The sequence below is a fragment of the Homo sapiens genome, chromosome 11 (assembly GCF_000001405.40).
Source record: "Homo sapiens chromosome 11, GRCh38.p14 Primary Assembly".
Classification (NCBI taxonomy): Eukaryota; Metazoa; Chordata; class Mammalia; order Primates; family Hominidae; genus Homo; species Homo sapiens.
Window position 1 is genome coordinate 12,334,568 of NC_000011.10, and position 20,954 is coordinate 12,355,521.

The window sequence follows — 20,954 nt, forward strand, 5'->3', positions numbered from 1 at the left end:
ATTAGGTATATCTCCTAATGCTATCCCTCCCCCCTCCCCCCACCCCCCCACAACAGTCCCCGGTGTGTGATGTTCCCCTTCCTGTGTCCATGTGTTCTCATTGTTCAATTCCCACCTGTGAGTGAGAACATGTGGTGTTTGGTTTTTTTGTCCTTGTGATAGTTTGCTGAGAATGATGGTTTCCAGCTTTATCCATGTCCCTACAAAGGACATGAACTCATCATTTTTTATGGCTGCATAGTATTCCATGGTGTATATGTACATTTTCTTAATCCAGTCTATCATTGATGGACATTTGGGTTGGTTCCAAGTCTTGGCTATTGTGAATAGTGCTGCAGTAAACATACGTGCACATGTGTCTTTATAGCAGCATGACTTATAATCCTTTGGGTATATACCCAGTAATGGGATTGCTGGGTCAAATGGTATTTCTAGTTCTAGATCCCTGAGGAATCACCACACTGTCTTCCACAATGGTTGAACTAGTTTACAGTCCCACCAACAGTGTAAAAGTGTTCCTATTTCTCCACATCCTCTCCAGCACCTGTTTTTTCCTGATTTTTTAATGATTGCCGTTCTAACTGGTGTGAGATGGTATCTCATTGTGGTTTTGATTTGCATTTCTCTGATGGCCAGTGATGATGAGCCTCTTTTCATGTGTTTTTTGGCTGCATAAATGTCTTCTTTTGAGAAGTGTCTCTTCATATCCTTCACCCACTTTTTGATGGGATTGTTTGTTTTTTTCTTGTAAATTTGTTTGAGTTCATTGTAGATTCTGGATATTAGCCCTTTGTCAGATGAGTAGGTTGCAAAAATTTTCTCCCATTCTGTAGGTTGCCTGTTCACTCTGTTGGTAGTTTCTTTTGCTGTGCAGAAGCTCTTGAGTTTAATTAGATCCCATTTGTCAATTTTGGCTTTTGTTGCCATTGCTTTTGGTGTTTTAGTCATGAAGTCATTGCCCATGCCTATGTCCTGAATAGTATTGCCTAGGTTTTCTTCTAGGGTTTTTATGGTTTTAGGTCTAACATGTAAGTCTTTAATCCATCTTGAATTAATTTTTGTATAAGGTGTAAGGAAGGGATCCAGTTTCAGCTTTCTACATATGGCTAGCTAGTTTTCCCAGCACCATTTATTAAATAGGGAATCCTTTCCCCATTTCTTGTTTTTGTCAAGTTTGTCAAAGATCAGATAGTTGTAGATATGCAGCATTATTTCTGAGAGCTCTGTTCTGTTCCATTGGTCTGTGTATCTGTTTTGGTACCAGTACCATGCTGTTTTGGTTACTGTAGCCTTGTAGTATAGTTTGAAGTCAGGTAGCATGATGCCTCCAGCTTTGTTCTTTTGGCTTGGGATTGACTTGACAATGCGGGCTCTTTTTTGGTTCCATATGAACTTTAAAGAAGTTTTTCCAATTCTGTGAAGAAAGTCATTGGTAGCTTGATGGGGATGGCATTGAATCTATAAATTACCTTAGGCAGTATGGCCATTCTCATGATATTGATTCTTCCTACCCATGAGCATGGAACGTTCTTCCATTTGTTTGTATCCTCTTTTATTTCATTGAGCAGTGGTTTGTAGTTCTCCTTGAAGAGGCCCTTCACATCCCTTGTAAGTTGGATTCCTAGGTATTTTATTCTCTTTGAGGAAGTTGTGAATGGGAGTTCACTCATGATTTGGCTCTCTGTTTGTCTATTATTGGTGTATAAGAATGTCTGTGATTTTTGCACATTGATTTTGTATCCTGAGACTTTGCTGAAGTGGCTTATCAGCTTAAGGAGATTTTGGGCTGAGACAATGGGGTTTTCTAGATATACAATCATGTCATCTGCAAACAGGGAAATTTGACTTCCTTTTTTCCTAATTGAATGCCCTTTATTTCCTTCTCCTGCCTGATTGCCCTGACCAGAACTTCCAAAACTATGTTGAATAGGAGTGGTGAGAGAGGGCCTCCCTGTCTTGTGCCAGTTTTCAAAGGGAATGCTTCCAGTTTTTGTCCATTCAGTATGATATTGGCTGTGGGTTTGTCATAGATGGCTCTTATTATTTTGAGATACATCCCATCAATACCTAATTTATTGAGAGTTTTTAGCATGAAGGGTTGTTGAATTTTGTCAAAGGCCTTTTCTGCATCTATTGAGATAATCATGTGGTTTTTGTCTTTGGTTCTGTTTATATGCTGGATTATGTTTATTGATTTTCATATGTTGAACCAGCCTTGCATCCCAGGGATGAAGCTGACTTGATCATGGTGGATAAGCTTTTTGCTGTGCTGCTGGATTCAGTTTGCCAGTATTTTATTGAGGATTTTTGCATCAGTGTTCATCAAGGATATTGGTCTAAAATTCTCTTTTTTTGTTGTGTCTCTACCAGGCTTTGGTATCAGGATGATGCTGGCCTCATAAAATGAGTTAGGAAGGATTCCTTCTTTTTCTATTGATTGGAATAGTTTCAGAAGGAATGGTTCCAGCTCCTCCTTGTACCTCTGGTAGAATTCGGCTGTGAATCCATCTGGTCCTGGACTTGTTTTGGTTGGTAAGCTATTAATTATTGCCTCAATTTCAGAGCCTGTTATTGGTCTATTCAGAGATTCAACTTCTTCCTGGTTTAGTCTTCGGAGGGTGTATGTGTCGAGGAATTTATCCATTTCTTCTAGATTTTCTAGTTTATTTGCGTAGAGGTGTTTATAGTATTCTCTGATGGTAGTTTGTATTTCTGTGGGATCGGTGGTGATATCCCCTTTGTCATTTTTTATTGCGTCCATTTGATTCTTCTCTCTTTTATTCTTTATTAGTCTTGCTAGCGGTCTATCAATTTTGTTGATCTTTTCAAAAAACCAGCTCCTGGATTCATTGATTTTTTGAAGGGTTTTTTGTGTCTCTATTTCCTTCAGTTCTGCTCTGGTCTTAGTTATTTCTTGCCTTCTGCTAGCTTTTGAATGTGTTTGCTCTTGCTTCTCTAGTTCTTTTAATTGTGATGTTAGGGTGTCAATTTTAGATCTTTCCTGCTTTCTCTTTTGGGCATTTAGTGCTATAAATTTCCCTCTACACACTGCTTTGAATGTGTCCCAGAGATTCTGGTATGTTGTGTCTTTGTTCTCGTTGGTTTCAAAGAACATCTTTATTTCTGCCTTCATTTCGTTATGTACCCAGTAGTCATTCAGGAGCAGGTTGTTCAGTTTCCATGTAGTTGAGTGGTTTTGAGTGAGTTTCTTAATCCTGAGTTCTAGTTTGATTGCACTATGGTCTGAGAGACAGTTTGTTATAATTTCTGTTCTTTTACATTTGCTGAGGAGAGCTTTACTTCCAACTATGTGGTCAGTTTTGGAATAGGTGTGGTGTGGTGCTGAAAAGAATGTATATTCTGTTGATTTGGGGCGGAGAGTTCTGTAGGTGTCTAGTAGGTCCGCTTGGTGCAGAGCTGAGTTCAATTCCTCGATATCCTTGTTAAGTTTCTGTCTCGTTGATCTGTCTAATGTTGACAGTGGGGTGTTAAAGTCTCCCATTATTATTGTGTGGGAGTCTAAGTCTCTTTGTAGGTCACTAAGGACTTGCTTTATGAATCTGTGTGCTCCTGTATTGGGTGCATATATATTTAGGATAGTTAGCTCTTCTTGTTGAATTGATCCCTTTACCATTATGTAATGGCCTTCTTTGTCTCTTTTGATCTTTGTTGGTTTAAAGTCTGTTTTATCAGAGACTAGGCTTGCAACCCCTGCCTTTTTTTGTTCTCCATTTTCTTGGTAGATCTTCCTCCATCCCTTTATTTTGAGCCTATGTGTGTCTCTGCACGTGAAATGGGTTTCCTGAATACAGCACACTGATGGGTCTTGACTCTTTATCCAATTTGCCAGTCTGTGTCTTTTAATTGGCGCATTTAGCCCATTTACGTTTAAGGGTAATATTGTTATGTGTGAATTTGATCCTGTCATTATGATGTTAGCTGGTTATTTTGCTCGTTAGTTGATGCGGTTTCTTCCTAGCCTTGATGGTCTTTACAATTTGGCATGTTTTTGCAGTGGCTGGTACCAGTTGTTCCTTTCCATATTTAGTGCTTCCTTCAGGAGCTCTTTTAGGGCAGGCCTTGTGGTGACAAAATCTCTCAACATTTGCTTGTCTGTAAAGTATTTTATTTCTCCTTCACTTATGAAGCTTAGTTTGGCTGGATATGAAATTCTGGGTTGAAAATTCTTTTCTTTAAGAATGTTGAATATTGGCCCCTACTCTCTTCTGGCTTGTAGAGTTTCTGCGGAGAGATCAGCTGTTTGTCGGATAGGCCTCCCTTTGTGGGTAACCTGACCTTTCTCTCTGGCTGCCCTTAACATTTTTTCCTTCATTTCAACTTTGGTGAATCTGACAATTATGTGTCTTGGAGTTGCTCTTCTCGAGGAGTATCTTTGCGGCATTCTCTGTATTTCCTGAATCTGAATGTTGGCCTGCCTTGCTAGATTGGGGAAGTTCTCCTGGATAATATCCTGCAGAGTGTTTTCCAACTTGATTCCATTCTCCCCATCACTTTCAGGTACACCAGTCATACGTAGATTTGGTCTTTTCACATAGTCCCATATTTCTTGGAGGCTTTGTTCATTTCTTTTTACTCTTTTTTCTCTAAACTTCTCACTTCATTTCATTCATTTCATCTTTCATCGCTGATACCCTTTCTTCCAGTTGATCGCGTCAGCTACTGAGGCTTGTGCATTTGTCACGTAGTTCTCGTGCCGTGGTTTTCAGCTCCATCAGGTCCTTTAAGGACTTCTCTTCATTGATTATTCTAGTTAGCCATTCATCTAATTTTTTTTCAAGGTTTTTAACTTTTTTGCCATTGGTTCGAACTTCCTCCTTTAGCTCATAGTAGTTTGATCTTCTGAAGCCTTCTCTCAACTCATCAAAGTCATTCTCCATCCAGCTTTGTTCCGTTGCTGGTGAGGAGCTGTGTTCCTTTGGATGAGGAAAGGCACTCTGATTTTTAGAGTTTCCAGTTTTTCTGCTCTGTTTTTTCCCCATCTTTGTGGTTTTATCTACCTTTGGTCTTTGATGATGGTGATGTACAGATGGGTTTTTGGTGTGGATGTCCTTTCTGTTTGTTAGTTTTCCTTCTAACAGTCAGGACCCTCAGCTGCAGGTCTGTTGGAGTTTGCTGGAGATCCACTCCAGACCCATTTGCCTGGGTATCAGCAGTGGTGGCTGCAGAACAGCGGATATTGGTGAACCGCAAATGCTGCTGCCTGATCGTTCCTTTGGAAGTTTTGTCTCAGAGGAGTACCCAGCCTTGTGAGGTGTCAGTCTGCCCCTACTGGGGGGTGCCTCCCAGTTAGGCTACTCGGGGGTCAGGGACCCACTTGAGGAGGCAGTCTGCCCGTTCTCAGTTCTCAAGCTGTGTGCTGGGAGAACCACTACTCTCTTCAAAGCTCAGTTGGAAATGCAGAAATCACCCATCTTCTGCGTCGCTCACGCTGGGAGCTATAGACTGGAGCTGTTCCAATTCAGCCATCTTGGCTCTACCTTCCAGAATATTTTCAATCCACAGTTGGTTGAATCTGAGGATGTAGAACCCTCAGATACAGACGGTCAACTGTGTTTGCAAAAAAAATAACCAAAAAAGAATCAGCATTCTAGAATATTCCCACTGTTACAAATCAGTAAGAAATAGGCAAACAACCCAATATAAATATAGACAAATGACATAAATATTCTCTTCACAGAAGAATACTTAATGTCCAATAAATCTGTGAAAAAGACAGGAAAATACAAATAATTCAGACTACAGTAAAAAACTATGGAAAACTATTAAATTATTAGAACTTTAAAAATCTGATAATACTAAGCATTTGGCAAGGGTGAGGGACAAGGTGCACTCTTATTCAATGTTAATGGGAACACAAATTGTCACAACACTTTGGAAAACAATTGGGCTTTAGGCTGTGAAGTTGAATATGTGCATACGCTACAATTTAAGAATTTCATTCCTAATATATACTCCAGAGAAACTCTTACCCACGTGGCCAAAAAGACACATACAAGAATGCTCATAACAGCATCACTCATAATAGCAGAACTCTAAGAACAACTCAGATATCCATTAACAGGAAAATGGATAATTTGTGGTATAGTCATACAACCGAATGTTATATATACAGCAGTGAAAATGAATCAGTCACATGGATGCATTTTTACAACATAATTTTGAATTTAAAACAAGCAAGTTATGGAAGAATACATATAGTATAATACAATTTCACTAAAGCCCAAAGTCAAGAAAAACTAATTTTTTTGTTTCTAAAGAATATACAGATTAAAACAAAACAAAAAGTAATTTAAAAGGGAAAGATTAGAATTTTTATTTTTCAGCTGCATGCTCTGACTCCCAGAACAGAATTGTGAGCTAGCTACTAGCATCTTGGGCTTGTCAAGACTGAATCAGGCCAGATTCACAGCACAGCTTTCTGGATTATCATCATTCTGTGTAAGGAGCCTGTGGGAGGCAGACATACCCAGAGCTCCACATATGAAGGGTGGTAGAAACTTGAATGAAACAGGTCTGTGCATGAGCTCCAGAGTGGAGTGCTGACCAGAGACCAGAGAACAAAAGACAGGGACCGAAACCCAGCCATTCCAGGGGAGAGGCCCTGCACAGTGCTATTGAGAGTTCCTGCTCCACTTTCTCTAAAGCCCCTTGAAGGCCCCTAGATCATCAGTGAAGATGAAGACTACATCAACAAAATTGCAGCGAACACTGAATTAGGACTTCTCACAGATTCTAAGGAGGTGCAAAATCACATCAAAAGAGATAGATAGTTATGAACCACGCAGCAAAACAAGACCCAACTTGGATAAAAAACACACACCAATACATAATCAGAGAAGCCTTCAGCATTACCTACAAAAAAAAAGGTTAAAAACAAACAAAAAAAAAGACATAAGTTTAAAGAATAAATAGATCGTTTTTTTTCTCTACTACTATCTATTCCAAAAAATGTTATTGGCCCGGCGCGGTGGCTTATGCCTCTAATCCCAGCACTTTGGGAGGCCAAGACAGGCAGATTACCTAAGGTCAGGAGTTCAAGACCAGCCTGGCCAACATGGTGAAACCCCATCTCTACGAAAAATATAAAAATTAGCCGAGCATGGTGGCGCATGCCTGTAGTCCCAGCTACTTGGGAGGCTGAGGCAAAAGAATAGCTTGAACCCGGGAGGTGGAGTTTGTGGTGGGCCAAAATTGCACCACTGCACTCTAGCCTGGGCATCAGAGCAAGACTCTTTCTCAAAAAGAAAAGAAAAGAAAAGAAAAAAGTTATTGACCTTTACATGCCAATCATCGTAGGGTAAGTAGGGACTAAGATTTACCAGCCTTGGTGGTTGGAAGTAACATAGTGTGCTTTGCAATTTTGAGAGTACTCTTGGGCAAAACTGAGTCAATATAAATGACTCTATTAATAAAAAGTCACTTTGTGTTGGGTTTTGATCATTTCACCTCAGCAAGTGGGATACTTACATTTCGCACAGGAAAAGGCATGAGATGAGGACACAGGAGCAATTGAAGAGCCAGTTGACAGTGGACCCAGGCAGAGGGTGAGCGGAAGAAAGGGCTGGAGAACTGGGCCATTCTATTCACAGGCAGAGGCTGCTTGCCTTTTGGCTGCACCATTGCAGCTGCGTCCTGGTTCCTAGCTAGTCATAAGAGTCCCAGCCATGCCCTGAAAGGGCTTTCCATGCACCAGCAGCTATGGGACCAGATGGAGATGTGGATAAGCAAACCATCGCATAGGTACCAGGTGCTTGTGTCTTCCCAAGAAGTGCGGATGATCTACGCAGCCACATGACCTTTTCATTTACATGAGGCCAAAAAAAAATTATTATTTATGAGTTTTTGTTAACTTCATTTTAAGTTACAAAATAAAGTTTAGCCATGTATAGTCAAGGCAGGGGTTATACTCTAGCTGAATTCTAAAGGTGAACAGAAAATAATCCATATTGAACTATAGAACTAGACGTTGGAAGAAATGGCAAGGTAGGTGTGGTATGGTATAGTTTACTATAGAAATGGCATGGTATAGTTTACTGAGTGTTTACTATGTGCCAAGCACAATGCTTAGCCAAGCACAATGCTAAGCATTTGACATGCGTCAGCTCATTTAATCCAATTTATAAGGTAGGTACTATCATCACCATCCCCATTTTCCACAGGAGGAGACTCAGGCAGACAGACGTGAGGTTACGTGCCCAAAGTCACATGTTTGTAAGTGGCAGAGCAAGGTCTGATTGACTTCAAAGCCCATGCTTCTTTCACTTTGCTCTATTGCATTTATAGTGAGGGGCAATGCTGCCTTCGTCAGGACCCACAGGAAGGAATCTTACCGGGAGGGGGCAGGGAGCTGATGGAAATCGTAGAGGAGCCTCTTGGGGCGTGGTTGGAGTGGAGAGCAAGGCAAGGTTGAACTGGGCACAGTCGTCCTGAACCCAATACTTTGGGAAGGCAGATTCCCTGGAAACCTGCACTTGATTCCACACCCGAAGATCCCCCAAAGTGCTTTTGACTACTGAAGAAAGGGAGACTGAAAAATAGGCTGGGCGCCGTGGCTCACACCTGTAATCCCAGCACTTTGGGAGGCTGAGGTGGGCGGATCACCTGAGGTCAGGAGTTCGAGACCAGCCTGGCCAACATGATGAAACCCTATCTCTACTAAAAATACAAAAATTAGCCAGGCATGGTGGCAGGTGCTTGTAATCTCAGCTACTCAGGAGGCTGAGGCAGGAGAATTGCTTGAACCCAGGAGGCAGAGGTTGCAGTAAGCTGAGATCATGCCATTGCACTCCAGCCTGGGCGACAAGAGCTTCATCTCATTAAAAAAAAAAAAAAAAAACTGTAGCCAATAAAATTAGAAGTTATTCCACTGAAAAAATAATTAAATTGAGTGATTCTGTTCAACCTGTGTTTGTCAAGTACAGTGTCAAGGGGAATCAGTGTGGCAGCACAGGGAACTCTCTAACAGGCCAGATTTTAGGACACATAAGACTGAAAAAATGACATGTAATCCCGGATAAAAGTCTAGCTAGAACGTGTGGGTATAATGCAGGAAAGAGGCTGAATCTGAAAAACAACAACAAAAAATGCTCTAAAGACAGCAAAATAGTGTCTTGAAAGCTGCTTCTTTTGGATCGAGAACAAGGAAGGATAGGCCCAGTGCATGTGGCAGATGGTATAATGTTAGATACGAGGAAAGGCAGAATTCTCAGCTCTCAGCTTTTCTGTTTTCTCTATCAAGGAAAAACGATCCTTAATCTAGAAACATTAAACAAATATCTAGAAGGGACTGAATCTAGATACGTGGAAAAAATGAGAGAGCTGTAAGGCCAGGTGAAAGATGGAACATAGAACAGTGTCTTGGATGTAGCATTACTCAATCAGAACTTGCTGAATTAAGCCCCTGCTTTTGAAATGTCTTGCATATTGACCGGGCACGATTGGTGACACCTGCAATCCCAGCCCTTTGGGAGGCTGAGGCAGGTGGATCGCTTGAGCCCAGGAGTTCAAGACCAGCCTGGGCAACATAGCGAAACCCCATCTCTACTAAAAACACAAAAATTAGTCGGGCATGGTGGCACATACCTCTAATCCCAGCTACTCAGGAGGCTGAGGCAGGAGAATCTCTTGAACCGGGGAGGCAGAGGTTGCAGTGAGCTGAGATCATGCTACTGCACTCCAGCCTGGGTGACAGGGTGAGATTCGGTCTCAAAAAAACAAAACAAAACAAAAAACAAAAGAAAAGAAATAGCTTATACATATGACCTCAGTCTTTGAAAACTCATGGAGAATTTTGGAACCAAAAGGCTAGAGGTCTTGGAGCACATTTTCCGTTTTTCATATGGAAAAGAAGCATGAATTATGATCCTTGTCAAAATTCTAGAAACTATTATTATTATTATTATTATTATTATTATTATTATTATTATTTTGAGATGGAGTTTTGCTCCTGTTGCCCAGGCTGGAGTGCAATGGTGCAATCGGGGTTCACTGCAACCTCCGCCTCCCAGGTTCAAGCGATTCTCCTGTCTCAGCCTCTGAGTAGTTGGGATTACAGGTGCCTACCACTATGCCAAGCTAACTTTTGGTATTTTCAGTAGAGACGGGGTTTCACCATATTGGCTCAGCTGGTCTTGAACTCCTGACCCCAGATGATCCACTCACCTCGGCCTCCCAAAGTGCTGGGATTACAGGCGTGAGCCACCGCGCCCGGCCTAGAAATAATTATCAAAGAAATTGTGGACCAGGTGCGGTGGCTCACGCCTGTAATCCCAGCATTTTGGGAGGCCAAGGCGGGCAGATCACAAGGCAGGATATGGAGACCATCATGGCTAACACGGTGAAACCCCGTCTGTACTAAAAAAAAAAGTACAAAAAATTAGCTGGTGTTGTGGTGGGCGCCTGTAGTCCCAGCTACTCGGGAGGCTGAGGCAGGAGAATGGTGTGAACCCGGGAGGCGGAGCTTGCAGTGAGCCGAGATTGCGCCACTGCACTCCAGCCTGGGCGACAGAGCGAGACGAGAATCCATCTCAAAAAAAAAAAGAAAAAAGAAAGAAAGAAAGAAAGATTGTGAGTATTTAGAAAGAATTTTGAGATTACTAGAAACCACTCGTGTTTCGTGAGAAGCTGTGAAAAACAAATGTCATTTCTTTTTCTGGATGGAGTTGCAAGGTTTGTAGTGCCAATGAACATGACAGACATTGTGGAGCTTCAGTTCAGGAAACTATTTTGACCTTGGTCATTTCTCTAACAGCCTCATAGACAAGATATAGCAATGTGGGCTGGATGACACCAGTTTGGTGCATATAGAGTCGGCTTCATCCAAAGGCTGAGAAAGGTCCCTAATGATGTGCCAGATGGCTGTCTTCCATGTCCAGTTCCATCTGACATTTTGCTTTCTAATATCACATAAATGTACAGGATGCCCATTTATCAGTTCTGCAGAAATCTCAGGAGAAATGTGTCAGCTGGATAAAATATTCAAAAGATGTCTCCATAACGTGCCAAATAAGTAAGGTGATATTTAACAAGATGCATACAAAGTCTTGAATTGGGTTATGAAAAAGATCAGTTGCACAAGTAAAAGATGAAGGTATCAGACTTAACTACCACCATTGTGGAAAGGCCAGAGTTCATTTACTGGTAAATAAGAGCCCCAGTGAAGATGCTGCTAAAAAGACTTCTGCAATCTCTGGGCATAGGATGAAGGTGTGAGAGAGAGGGTCTCTCCATTTTGGGTTGTTTATATAGTGTTTAATTATAGACTCTCTTTAAGATATATCTTGGAAAATTAGAGGGTAAGCAGAATGGGCATCCTTCCTAGGACAAAATGACAGACGATCTGGAGGCGCTGTGAAAAGAGCAAACTTAGTGAATTGTGAGACGTGTCCTCAAATATCTAAAGGTCTGTCATGTAAAATATACTTACTGTTTTCCATCTTCCTCCAGGAAGAAAAACTGGAATCAGTGGTTAGCGGCCAACCCATTGAAGGCCGATAGAAAGAAGTTTTCAGGACTTAAAGTACACAGCCCTGCAGTGGGCTTCCTGGACAGGAGAGAGCTCCTTCGTCCCATGGATAATTATAGAGCAGCCACCTGTGAGGGAGGAGCGGAGGGAATTCCTGCACTGGCTCATGGCTGGACCAGATGACCCCGGAGGGTTCTTCTACCATGTGTATTGTATGATTTCAATAGTGACAGTTCCCATTTATTGAGCTTATACTGTGTGCCAGGACTGGGATAAGGGCTTTGTGTGCATAATCCCACTGCAGCTGCATGGCAGATAGAAACTGAGGCTTAGGAAGTCTATGATAATTGCTCAAGCCCACACAATGGGAAGTAGAGGAGTGGCATTTTGATCCCAAGTCTGAGTTTAAAGTGTACATTCTTAACTTCTATGTTCTATATGATCTCTGGCGTACATACTTCATTCTTTCATCCAATAACAAATGTCCGTGAATGCCTTGTTCTTCCCCTCCTCTCCCTGGCAAACTCTGTCATCCATTTAGACTGAGTGCACCTGCTGTCTCCTCTCTGAGGCTTTCCCTCGCTTTCTCCACACACAATTAATTGCCTGCCTCCTGTGTTCTCACAAGAGGCATGTTGTATTCTATTTGGCTACGTTGGTTTTCCCCAATGGACCATGAGCTCCCAGTTACCTAAAGAGCTGGAACCAGTGTTTACTCGCCCCTGTCCGGCACCACTAACAATGCATAGAAGATGTTGGCCCTCAATGTTTATAAATTTGGTTGCTCATACATTCATTCACTCAAGAAACCTAAGAAAGATTAACACCTTATTTCCCTCCCTCCTCCCTTTCTCACTTTAGTCCTTTACACACGACACTTCACACATCATTCTCCTACTCCACATCCTTTAATGTCCCTTTGTGTTCTACAGCATGAAGTGCAAATGCCTTAGCACTACTCTCTGTGATGAGATCATCAAAAAATGCCAGGCCTCCTTGCCCACCCCTCCATGCCCCTCAGCCCCTCCCAATCTCTGTCTCCACCGTCTTCTTCCCCATTGCCTTGTGTTTCCTCAAGTTGTTCCCTCTTCTTGAAAAATGCCCTCTTCCACCCTCATTATTTCCTCTCAAAAGTGTTACCTGTTCTTCCACCCCAGTCCCTCAGAAAGTCCAGCCTCACACCCTGATCAGGAGAATCCTCCCTCCCCTGTGTGCCCACAGTGCTTTTTGTTGCTTTATTGTGATTGTTTTCTAATATTCTATTTTATTCTAGCTCTTTGAGTCCCTGTGATCCAAAGAGTATCTAATGATATCCTTTTTGGTAGGCACAATGCCTCACTATCTGCAAATTTCTCATGCAATGTAACATTATATATCACTGTATCTCCAGTACCTAAGGCAATACCAACACATAGGAGGTGTCTGATAGATAGATGTTATTAAGTGAATGAATGAAACAGAAGCCAAGCTCTGCATTCTAGCACCAGTTTGCCCATAAAGTAAATAATTTGGGATATTGCATATACAGTCCACCCTTCTGCATCTGTAAATTGAAAATATTTAGAGAAAAATTAAAATAATACAATAAAAAATAATACAGATAGAAAAACCAATACAATATGGCAAATACTGACATAGCATTTATATCATATTCAGTATTATAAATAATCTAGAAATTATATAACGTATACTACAGGATGTGTATAGGTTATATGCAAATACAGTCACCTCTTGGTGTCTATGTGGGACTGGGTCAGAACTCCTGTGCAGATACTAAAATGTATGAATGCACAAGACCCTGATATAAAATGACATAGCAGGCCAGGCACGGTGGCTCACACCTGTAATCCCAACACTTCGGGAGGCCAAGGCGAGAGGACCATCTGAGGCCAGGAGTTCGAGACCATCCTGGCCAACGTGGTGAAACCCCATCTCTACTAAAAATACAAAACTTAGCTAGGTGTGGTGGCACACACCTGTAGTCCTAGCTACTCAGGAGGCTGAGGCAGGAGAATCACTTGAACCTGAGAGGCGGAGGTTGCAGTGAGCCAAGATCGTGCCACTGCACTCCAGATTGGGCAACAGAGAAAGACTCTGTCTCAAAAAAAAAAAAAAAAAAAAAGGCATAGTATTTGCATATAACCTGTGTACATCTTCCCATATTTTAAAATCATCTCTAGATTACTCACCATACCAAACACAATGCCTACAAATTACTTCATTTGTATGGATTCAACATAGTACTTGAAGTGCAGCAAATTTGTGTTTTTTGGAACTTTGTGAAATATTTTTTTCTGAATATTTTTGATCCACAGTGGGTTGAATCCACAGTTGAGGAACCCACAGATTTGAAGAGCTGACCATACTGTGTCATTATATATAAGGGACTTGAGCACTCATGGATTTTGATATCCAAGAGGGGGTCCTAGAACTAGTCCTCCATAAATACTGAGAGATGACTGTAAATCTTTCTGGGCCCTGGTTTTATTATCAATAACAAGGTGGTCCAGGAGACACAGAGAAAAGGGAACTAATTTTTATGGATTTCTTGCTATGTGCAAGGCAATGAACTAGGCATATTATTTATCTTAGACTATTTTAGCAGGAGGGAGGGAGAAATATACATAGCAGTGAAGATTGTGGGTTTAGGATCAGACACAGTTAAGTTCAGGCTCTAGCTCTGCTGCTTACTGTGAACTTGGGCAAGTTTAATCTTTTAAACCTCCATTTCTTCAGCTATCAAGTGGTGATGATAAGTGTATCTACAGAAAAGTTTGTTATGAGGATTAAATTAGGTGCTGCATATAAGGCACATAGCCCATCAACTGGCATGTAATCACTACAAAATAAACAGCAGCTCATTATTATTGTATTGCCTGTGTGTCTTATTATTCCACTTTAACCAGTGAAGAAGCAGAGGTTCGGAGAAGTTAAGCAACTTGCACAAGGTCACACAAAGCTTCTGTCTGCCTTGTTTTCCCCTCTGCGTATGGGACCCTCCAGGATAAATCCTTCTAGGATGACCATGAGCTTTGCCATACAGCTTGTGTTCTCCTTTCAGGGTGAAATATTCGAAAGCCACCTTTTAACATTTTAGTACCTAGATATTTAGTATCTAACATTAAATATCTAAGAAGCAGTGCCAGTTTTCTCGTGATTCTTCTTCTGTTTAATAAAGGTCATAATCTAAGTAATAAGAATATATGGATATAACTTTTCCCCCATGAGACACAAAGCTAATAACTTTTGTATTATTATTATTTGGCTTTTCTTTGTTCAAAAAATCAAAATGCCAGTCAGCACTCCTCTGTGACCAAATGTGGCATGAGCTTCCCTGCCCCATGGAAGGAGCCACACACCACCTGGGTACTCAGTAGGCATTTGATCTGGGGGAGAAAAAGAAGAAGGAAATGATGAGCAGCAGCTAGGGTTGTCCTTGGTGAAGGATGTGATGCATACACATATGTAAGTTTTACAAAGAATATACGAGTAGGCAGGGGGAGGGTCGTTTGTGGTGGGATGTTATCGTGGTTATGTGACCATTGGAACTGGAGTAGTCATGCCCTAAGTGTCCAAGAAGACCCCCTCACACACGTACCCACAGCATGCACAGGTGGGTTTTATTTGTCATACCCATAACCTGGAGGCACCTACAGGGTGTCAGGGAGCTGCTGCCTGCAGAGCCCTTGTCACTACAAACATAACCTGCTAAAGTGGCTCAAAGCAGTTTGATCATGGGGAGAGAAATGCCAATCTAACCCATTTGCTGTTGATTTCTTAAGCAGATTCAGGCACACAGGATGAAGCACAGCTTTTGCAGGAATGGTTTAAGCTGGTTCTGGAGAAGAATAAATTAATGCGATATGAGTCGGAGCTCCTAATCATGTAAGTAAGGCAACACAGATACCAGCGAGTCCTAAAAGCAAAGGGGCAAAGGGGGGTGGCTTACCCTCCTAGGCCGAAGTCTCGGGACTTTTTCTCCTTGTGCATACAGAATAGTGATTGAGGCAAATTGATATTTTATGTCTTGCATATCATGCTGGCATTAGTGCAAAGAATCTTTAGCTGTCTGTTCTTTCTCTCTGCAGAGTCCTGTGGCTAAAATAGGTTTTGGGTAATGGGTCTGGAGCTGAAGGTCATTTGGATAAGGCATTTTCAATCCATCCCTGTTCCCTGGGTCCATCTTAAAAGAGGGATCACACACCTGCAATGGGAAGGCTGTGTCTGGCCTCTGAGTGTAAATCTTGGGAAGGACTCAGTGACATACCCCTGACCACTTCCTGTGGCTTTAAGAGAATGAAGGACTGAGTTCTGTCTGGCTGTCCTCTCTGAATGCAGTTGCAGCCTCGTTGGGAGACCAAAAAGTGGAGATGGATGTCACCACACTCTGAAAAAGCTGAAGGTCACTATACCTGTCATCATTCTAGAGGGAAAAAAGTAACATTTAGTATCAATTGAAGTGCCATAAGTTGTGCTGGGTGCTTCCATTTATGCTGTCTCGTTTCATTTTTGCCCCAACCCCAGGAAGTAATTTTAAGGGCTTTTGAAGGGGTGTAATAAATACTATCACTCTTCCCTGCCTGGGTTCTGAGCCAGGTGAGAAATAAGACAACCAAGTCAATAGAGGGAACATCAAAATATTATCTTTATTACCGATAATGGCTTATATGATAATGGCTTGTACCTGGCTAAGTATGACAGCCCAGATTAGCTTGCTACCTTTATTCGTTTCCTAGGCTGCAATAACAAATTGCCACAGACTGGATGGCTTACAACAGAAATTTATTCTCTCACTGTCTGGAAGCCAGAAGTTCAAAATCAAGGTGTTGGGGGAGCTGTGTTTCCTGCAGAAACACAAGGAAGGACCTGTCCTTGCCCTTTCCACTTTTTCTGGCTCCAGGCTTTCCTGAGTTTGTGGCTGCATCACTCTAGTCTCTGCCTCTGTCTTCACACAGCCTTCCCTGTGTGTCTGTGTCTTCTCTTCTGCTCTTATAAAGACACTTGGGTCATTGGGTTTAGGACCCACTGAGATAATCCAGAATGTTCTTATCTTAAGATCCTTAACTTAATTGCATCTGCAAAGACCCTTTACAAATAAGGTCACATTCAGTTTCCATGGGTTAGGACGTGGACATATCTTTTAGGGAGTCACCATTCAACCCACTACACTAACCAACCCCAGAATTAGACATATACCTACCTAATCACAAAAGGTAGTAGACTCACCTGCTCCTTAGGGGCAAGGCTGTTATCCTAGACCAGTGGGGTTCAGCCAGGGGCAATAACCTCAGAGGATATTTGGCAATGTCTGAAGACATTTTTGTTGTCACATCTAGGGGCAGGGGTGCTACTGATATCCAGTGAGCAGAGGCCAAGGATGCTACTAAACATCCTACAAAGTACAAGACAGTCCCTTCCTCCCACCAAAAAATAATTATTTGGCCTAAAATGTCAAAAGTGTCAGGGTTAAGAAACCTTGCCCTAGAACTATGGCAAGGCTTATTGAGAACACATGTTTGCTGAAGACTGGCTGAGCCTGGGAGAGAAAGAGAGGAGTGAGTTGAGCTCACGTAGTCTATTTTTCCCAAATTTACCTCCCCTGGGGTGAGAGTGAGGAAGGGTAGGGTTGGGAGAGGTGGCCCGGAGTTACATTCATTGAGTTCCATTGACATGGAAGGTAATGCCAGGAATTGGGAAGAAGGGGGGTCATCTCTAGTGATGATTTGTTGTATTATAACTTTTTTTTTTTTTTCTTTGAGACAGAGTCTCGCTCTTTCACCCTGGCTGGAGTGCAGTGGTGTGATCTCGGCTCACTGCAGCCTCCACCTCCTGGGTTCAAGTGATTCTTCTGCCTCAGCCTCCCAAGAAGCTGGGACTACAGGTGCACACCACACCCAGCTAATTTTTGTATTTTTAATAGAGACAGGGTTTCACCGTGTTGACCAGGCTGGTCTCGAACTCCTGACTTCAAGTGATCCACCCACCTCGGCCTCCCAAAGTGCTGGAATTACAGGCCTGAGCCACCATGCTCAGCCTTATTACAACTTTTTAAGTTGATGCATATACTGAGATTCAGGGCAACTAAGTAATTTGTCCACTCTACCTGACTACAAAGCCCTTTTTATATAGCTACTGTGTCTGCATTGAGGCCAGGTATGAATGATAAATTGTAAAAACGTAAAAATTATTTTAAAAGTGTAAAAAATTTATCAAGCACATTCTGTGCACCAGGGACTATGCTGGGTTCTGTGAAAATAAAGATGGATAAGGTCATAGACTCTATTTTCTAGGATCTTGTAGTTTTAAGGGAAACACATAGGCACGTGCATAGCACAGTAGTGATAAGAAAACTTAGAAGAGCTCCATGGCGACAGAAGGGTCTGCCTGAGAGTCAGGGAGGCACGGCTGCTGCCTGTGTCCCATAACTGCAGCTTCCCCGGTCAACGCACTGTAGGAAGGACTTTCCTCTCCAAAGGAGGGTGAATAGGAAAACTTTGACATGTGAACTAGACAAAGGCTAGTAGGAGCTCTGCTAAAGCATGGGTTTTAGTTTGGAGAAAGCCCTGAATGAGCATGGAGAAATGTCTTATTGGTATCTTGATTCAAGGCTTTTGGGAACCGGATGCCAAGACACTTCAAAGAACAAGAGGTCTATTGGGGAAAATGCCTATGAAGGGAGAAGGAGCAGGAGGAAGTGAGAAGTCTTCAGACTCCACTGCAGTTCTGATGCCTGTAAAAGGAGAGTGGGGAGGGAGAAGAATTGGGCAGGAGGAGCCCCAGATGCAGCGCAGCTCTGAGAAAGTCTTGGCCAGGCCAATGGGAACATCAGTGCAAAGACTGCCCATCGAGGAATTCCATGCAGGCAGGAACGGGGCAACTGCAGCACCTCCTCTCTGCCCAGTCTGCATGACATGGAAGTGGATTTTGCAGCAGCAGTGAGCTCATTATGCTTCTCCCAGAAAGTTCTCTTAAAGGAAGATCTGACCGGTCCATCTCCATTGGCTACCACAGTGGGCCACAAGAAGTTCAGGGTTGATAACAAGAAGCAGGGACCTTGGCCCATGTAGTAGCAGATGTAGTAAAAATAACGCCAGTAACCGGGTATAACAAAGCGACCCCAGCACCTATAGGGGTGATGTGTGATACACATGCAGATGGCAGGTGGAGGCTGGAAGAGGAGGCCCCACCAGGTCAAACCCAGGAACCTAGTCTCGGCCCTCACCCTCTTCAAGTCTCTGTTGCAGTGAACACCTTTGACCTTTCTCTTTTCTCTCAAAACATCCCTTGCTTGTCTCTGTGCTGGTGCACTTCTTGTTTTGTTCTTCCAACCTTTGGATGGCTTCTTCCCTGGCTACCTTTTTTGTTTGGCTTCTAAATGTAGGTATTTCCAGGCTTCTGTCTTCAAACTGTTTCTTTATCTATAGCCTTCCTTTAGGGATCACACAACTTCAGCTCTCACCTCTGACCACTGCCACATCTGTGTGTGGTCCTCCTTTCTTCTGAGAACTCCAGAGTGGCATTTGGGAGCCTCCACATTACCACATGGGCTAGCCTGTGGGGAGCTCACACACCCACGGTGATCTCAATGGGGCATCCCCTGGCATGGAAAACTTAAGTTCCATCTAACCTTCCCTGAGGACTCACCTCATTTCTTGACTTTGCTGCTCCTCTCAGTGGAAATGCTGAGCCCCCAGCACTCAAGCCTGACCACCCCAAAGCATCACTGACTCTTTCCACCTCTCCTACAGCCAGCTGGAGAGTTGCCTGAGTTTTAAGTCCCCCACCCCACCCACACAAAATATCTCACTTTTGTTTGCTCTATTTTGTTTTCTCATGTACCACAGTCAGAGACTTGGGCATCATTGGAGTTAATGCTCTAAGTCAAGTTACTCCTAAAAGAGAGAAAAGCTTTTGATTGTCATTGCTTCTCCCGGGCCTATGCTAGTCATTTCTTCACTGTTCTCCTCACCCCCACCCCATCCCTAAAGGGTGGTCTGGATGGCCTTCCAAAGCCTACTGAGAGCACATTGCAGCCTTCAGCTGCTCCCCCTGGTCTCTTGAGTTCAGTGTATCTCAGCAATCTTTCCATGTACCTTCAGAGATCCCAGCAGTAGCAGAACCTTCAGTTTAAAGACAGGCTAAGGCTGGGTGCAGTGGCTCATGCCTGTAATGCCAGCACTTTGGGAGGCCAAGGAGGGCGGGTCACCTGAGGTCAGGAGTTCGAGACCAGCCTGGCCAACAGGGTGAAACCCTGTCTCTACTAAAAAGACAAAAATTAGCCCAGTGGCAGATGCCTGTAATCCCAGCTACTCAGGAGGCTGAGGCAGGAAAATCGCTTGAACCTGGGAGGTGGAGGTTGCAGTGAGCCAATACCGTGCCACTGCAGTCCAGCCTGGGTGACAAGAGCAAACTCTGTCTCCAAAAAAAAAAAAAAAATTAGCCAGGCGTGGTGGTGCACGCCTGTAATCCCAGCTACTTGGGAGGCTGAGGCAGAAGAATCACTTGGACCTGGGGGGCGAAGGTTGCAGTGAGCTGGTGCCACTGCACTCCAGTCCAGACGACAAAGACTCGGTCTCAGAAAAATAATAATTACAATAAAAAATAAAGATAGGCTAAAACTCCAGTCTTAATTAGGAAAAAAGAATGCTGTAGCTACTCTCAATGGGCTTATTCATCAATGTTTCCTCACAAATCTATAGTATTCATAAAATTTGAACATTTTCTCACCCAGGGCCCAGGAACTGGAATTAGAAGATCATCAAAGCAGACTGGAGCAGAAACTGAGAGAGAAAATGCTCAAGGAGGGTGAGTATGCTTGGGCCTTTGTTGAGAACTTCCCCCTAGAAAGGCTCCTGAGCAGCGTGTGCCACAAATCCCAGAGTGGGGCGCTCTTCCTGCCTGCCAGCCTGCAAGTTAGAGGAAAGTACAAAGCCAGCCTGCCTCCCACCAGCAGCACCACAAGCCCCATTTAGCCTCATTCACTTGGGCTGTGAGGGCAGTGCTTTCCCCCATCCCAAGTGGCAGTAGGAACAAAGTCCTATGTTCACTTATTCATTCATGTATCCACCCATTCATTTAACACACATTTACTGGGAACTATGGTCCTGGTTTATGATGAAGAGCAAGTCCTGCCCTCTAGGAGTTTGTGGTCTCACTGGGGAGACTAACACCCCCAGTTCCGTAATGCTAGTTCAGTGAGATGAAGGCCACATCAGAAGGGCTTTGGGATCCCAGAGAAAGGCGGGCCTAGTGCTGCCAGGCACTAGAGCTAGTAAAGGAAACGTTCCCTCCCAGCGTGGGCAGGGCCAGGGCATCACACATGAGAAAACGATTCCACCAGGAAGCAAGGAGAGTAGAGATAAACTCAACTGACACAGTATACTGCTGTATGCATTTATTAGTTCCTGCCAGAAAGGCATATTCACTCCGTTTTGCACCTGTGTGTTTGCAGTGCCAGATCGATGCATGA

General features: G+C 43.1%; 1 protein-coding gene across 1 annotated transcript in view; it reads left to right on the forward strand.

Annotated features, from left to right (window-relative positions):
- Positions 1 to 20,954, forward strand: part of MICAL2 (microtubule associated monooxygenase, calponin and LIM domain containing 2) — a 251,551-nt gene that overhangs the window by 223,978 nt on the left and 6,619 nt on the right. Inside the window, exons 35-36 of the mRNA NM_001393937.1 lie at positions 15,271 to 15,370; positions 20,217 to 20,290. Of these exons, the coding sequence (NP_001380866.1) occupies positions 15,271 to 15,370; positions 20,217 to 20,290 (174 nt within the window). The remainder of the gene's footprint in view (positions 1 to 15,270; positions 15,371 to 20,216; positions 20,291 to 20,954) is intronic.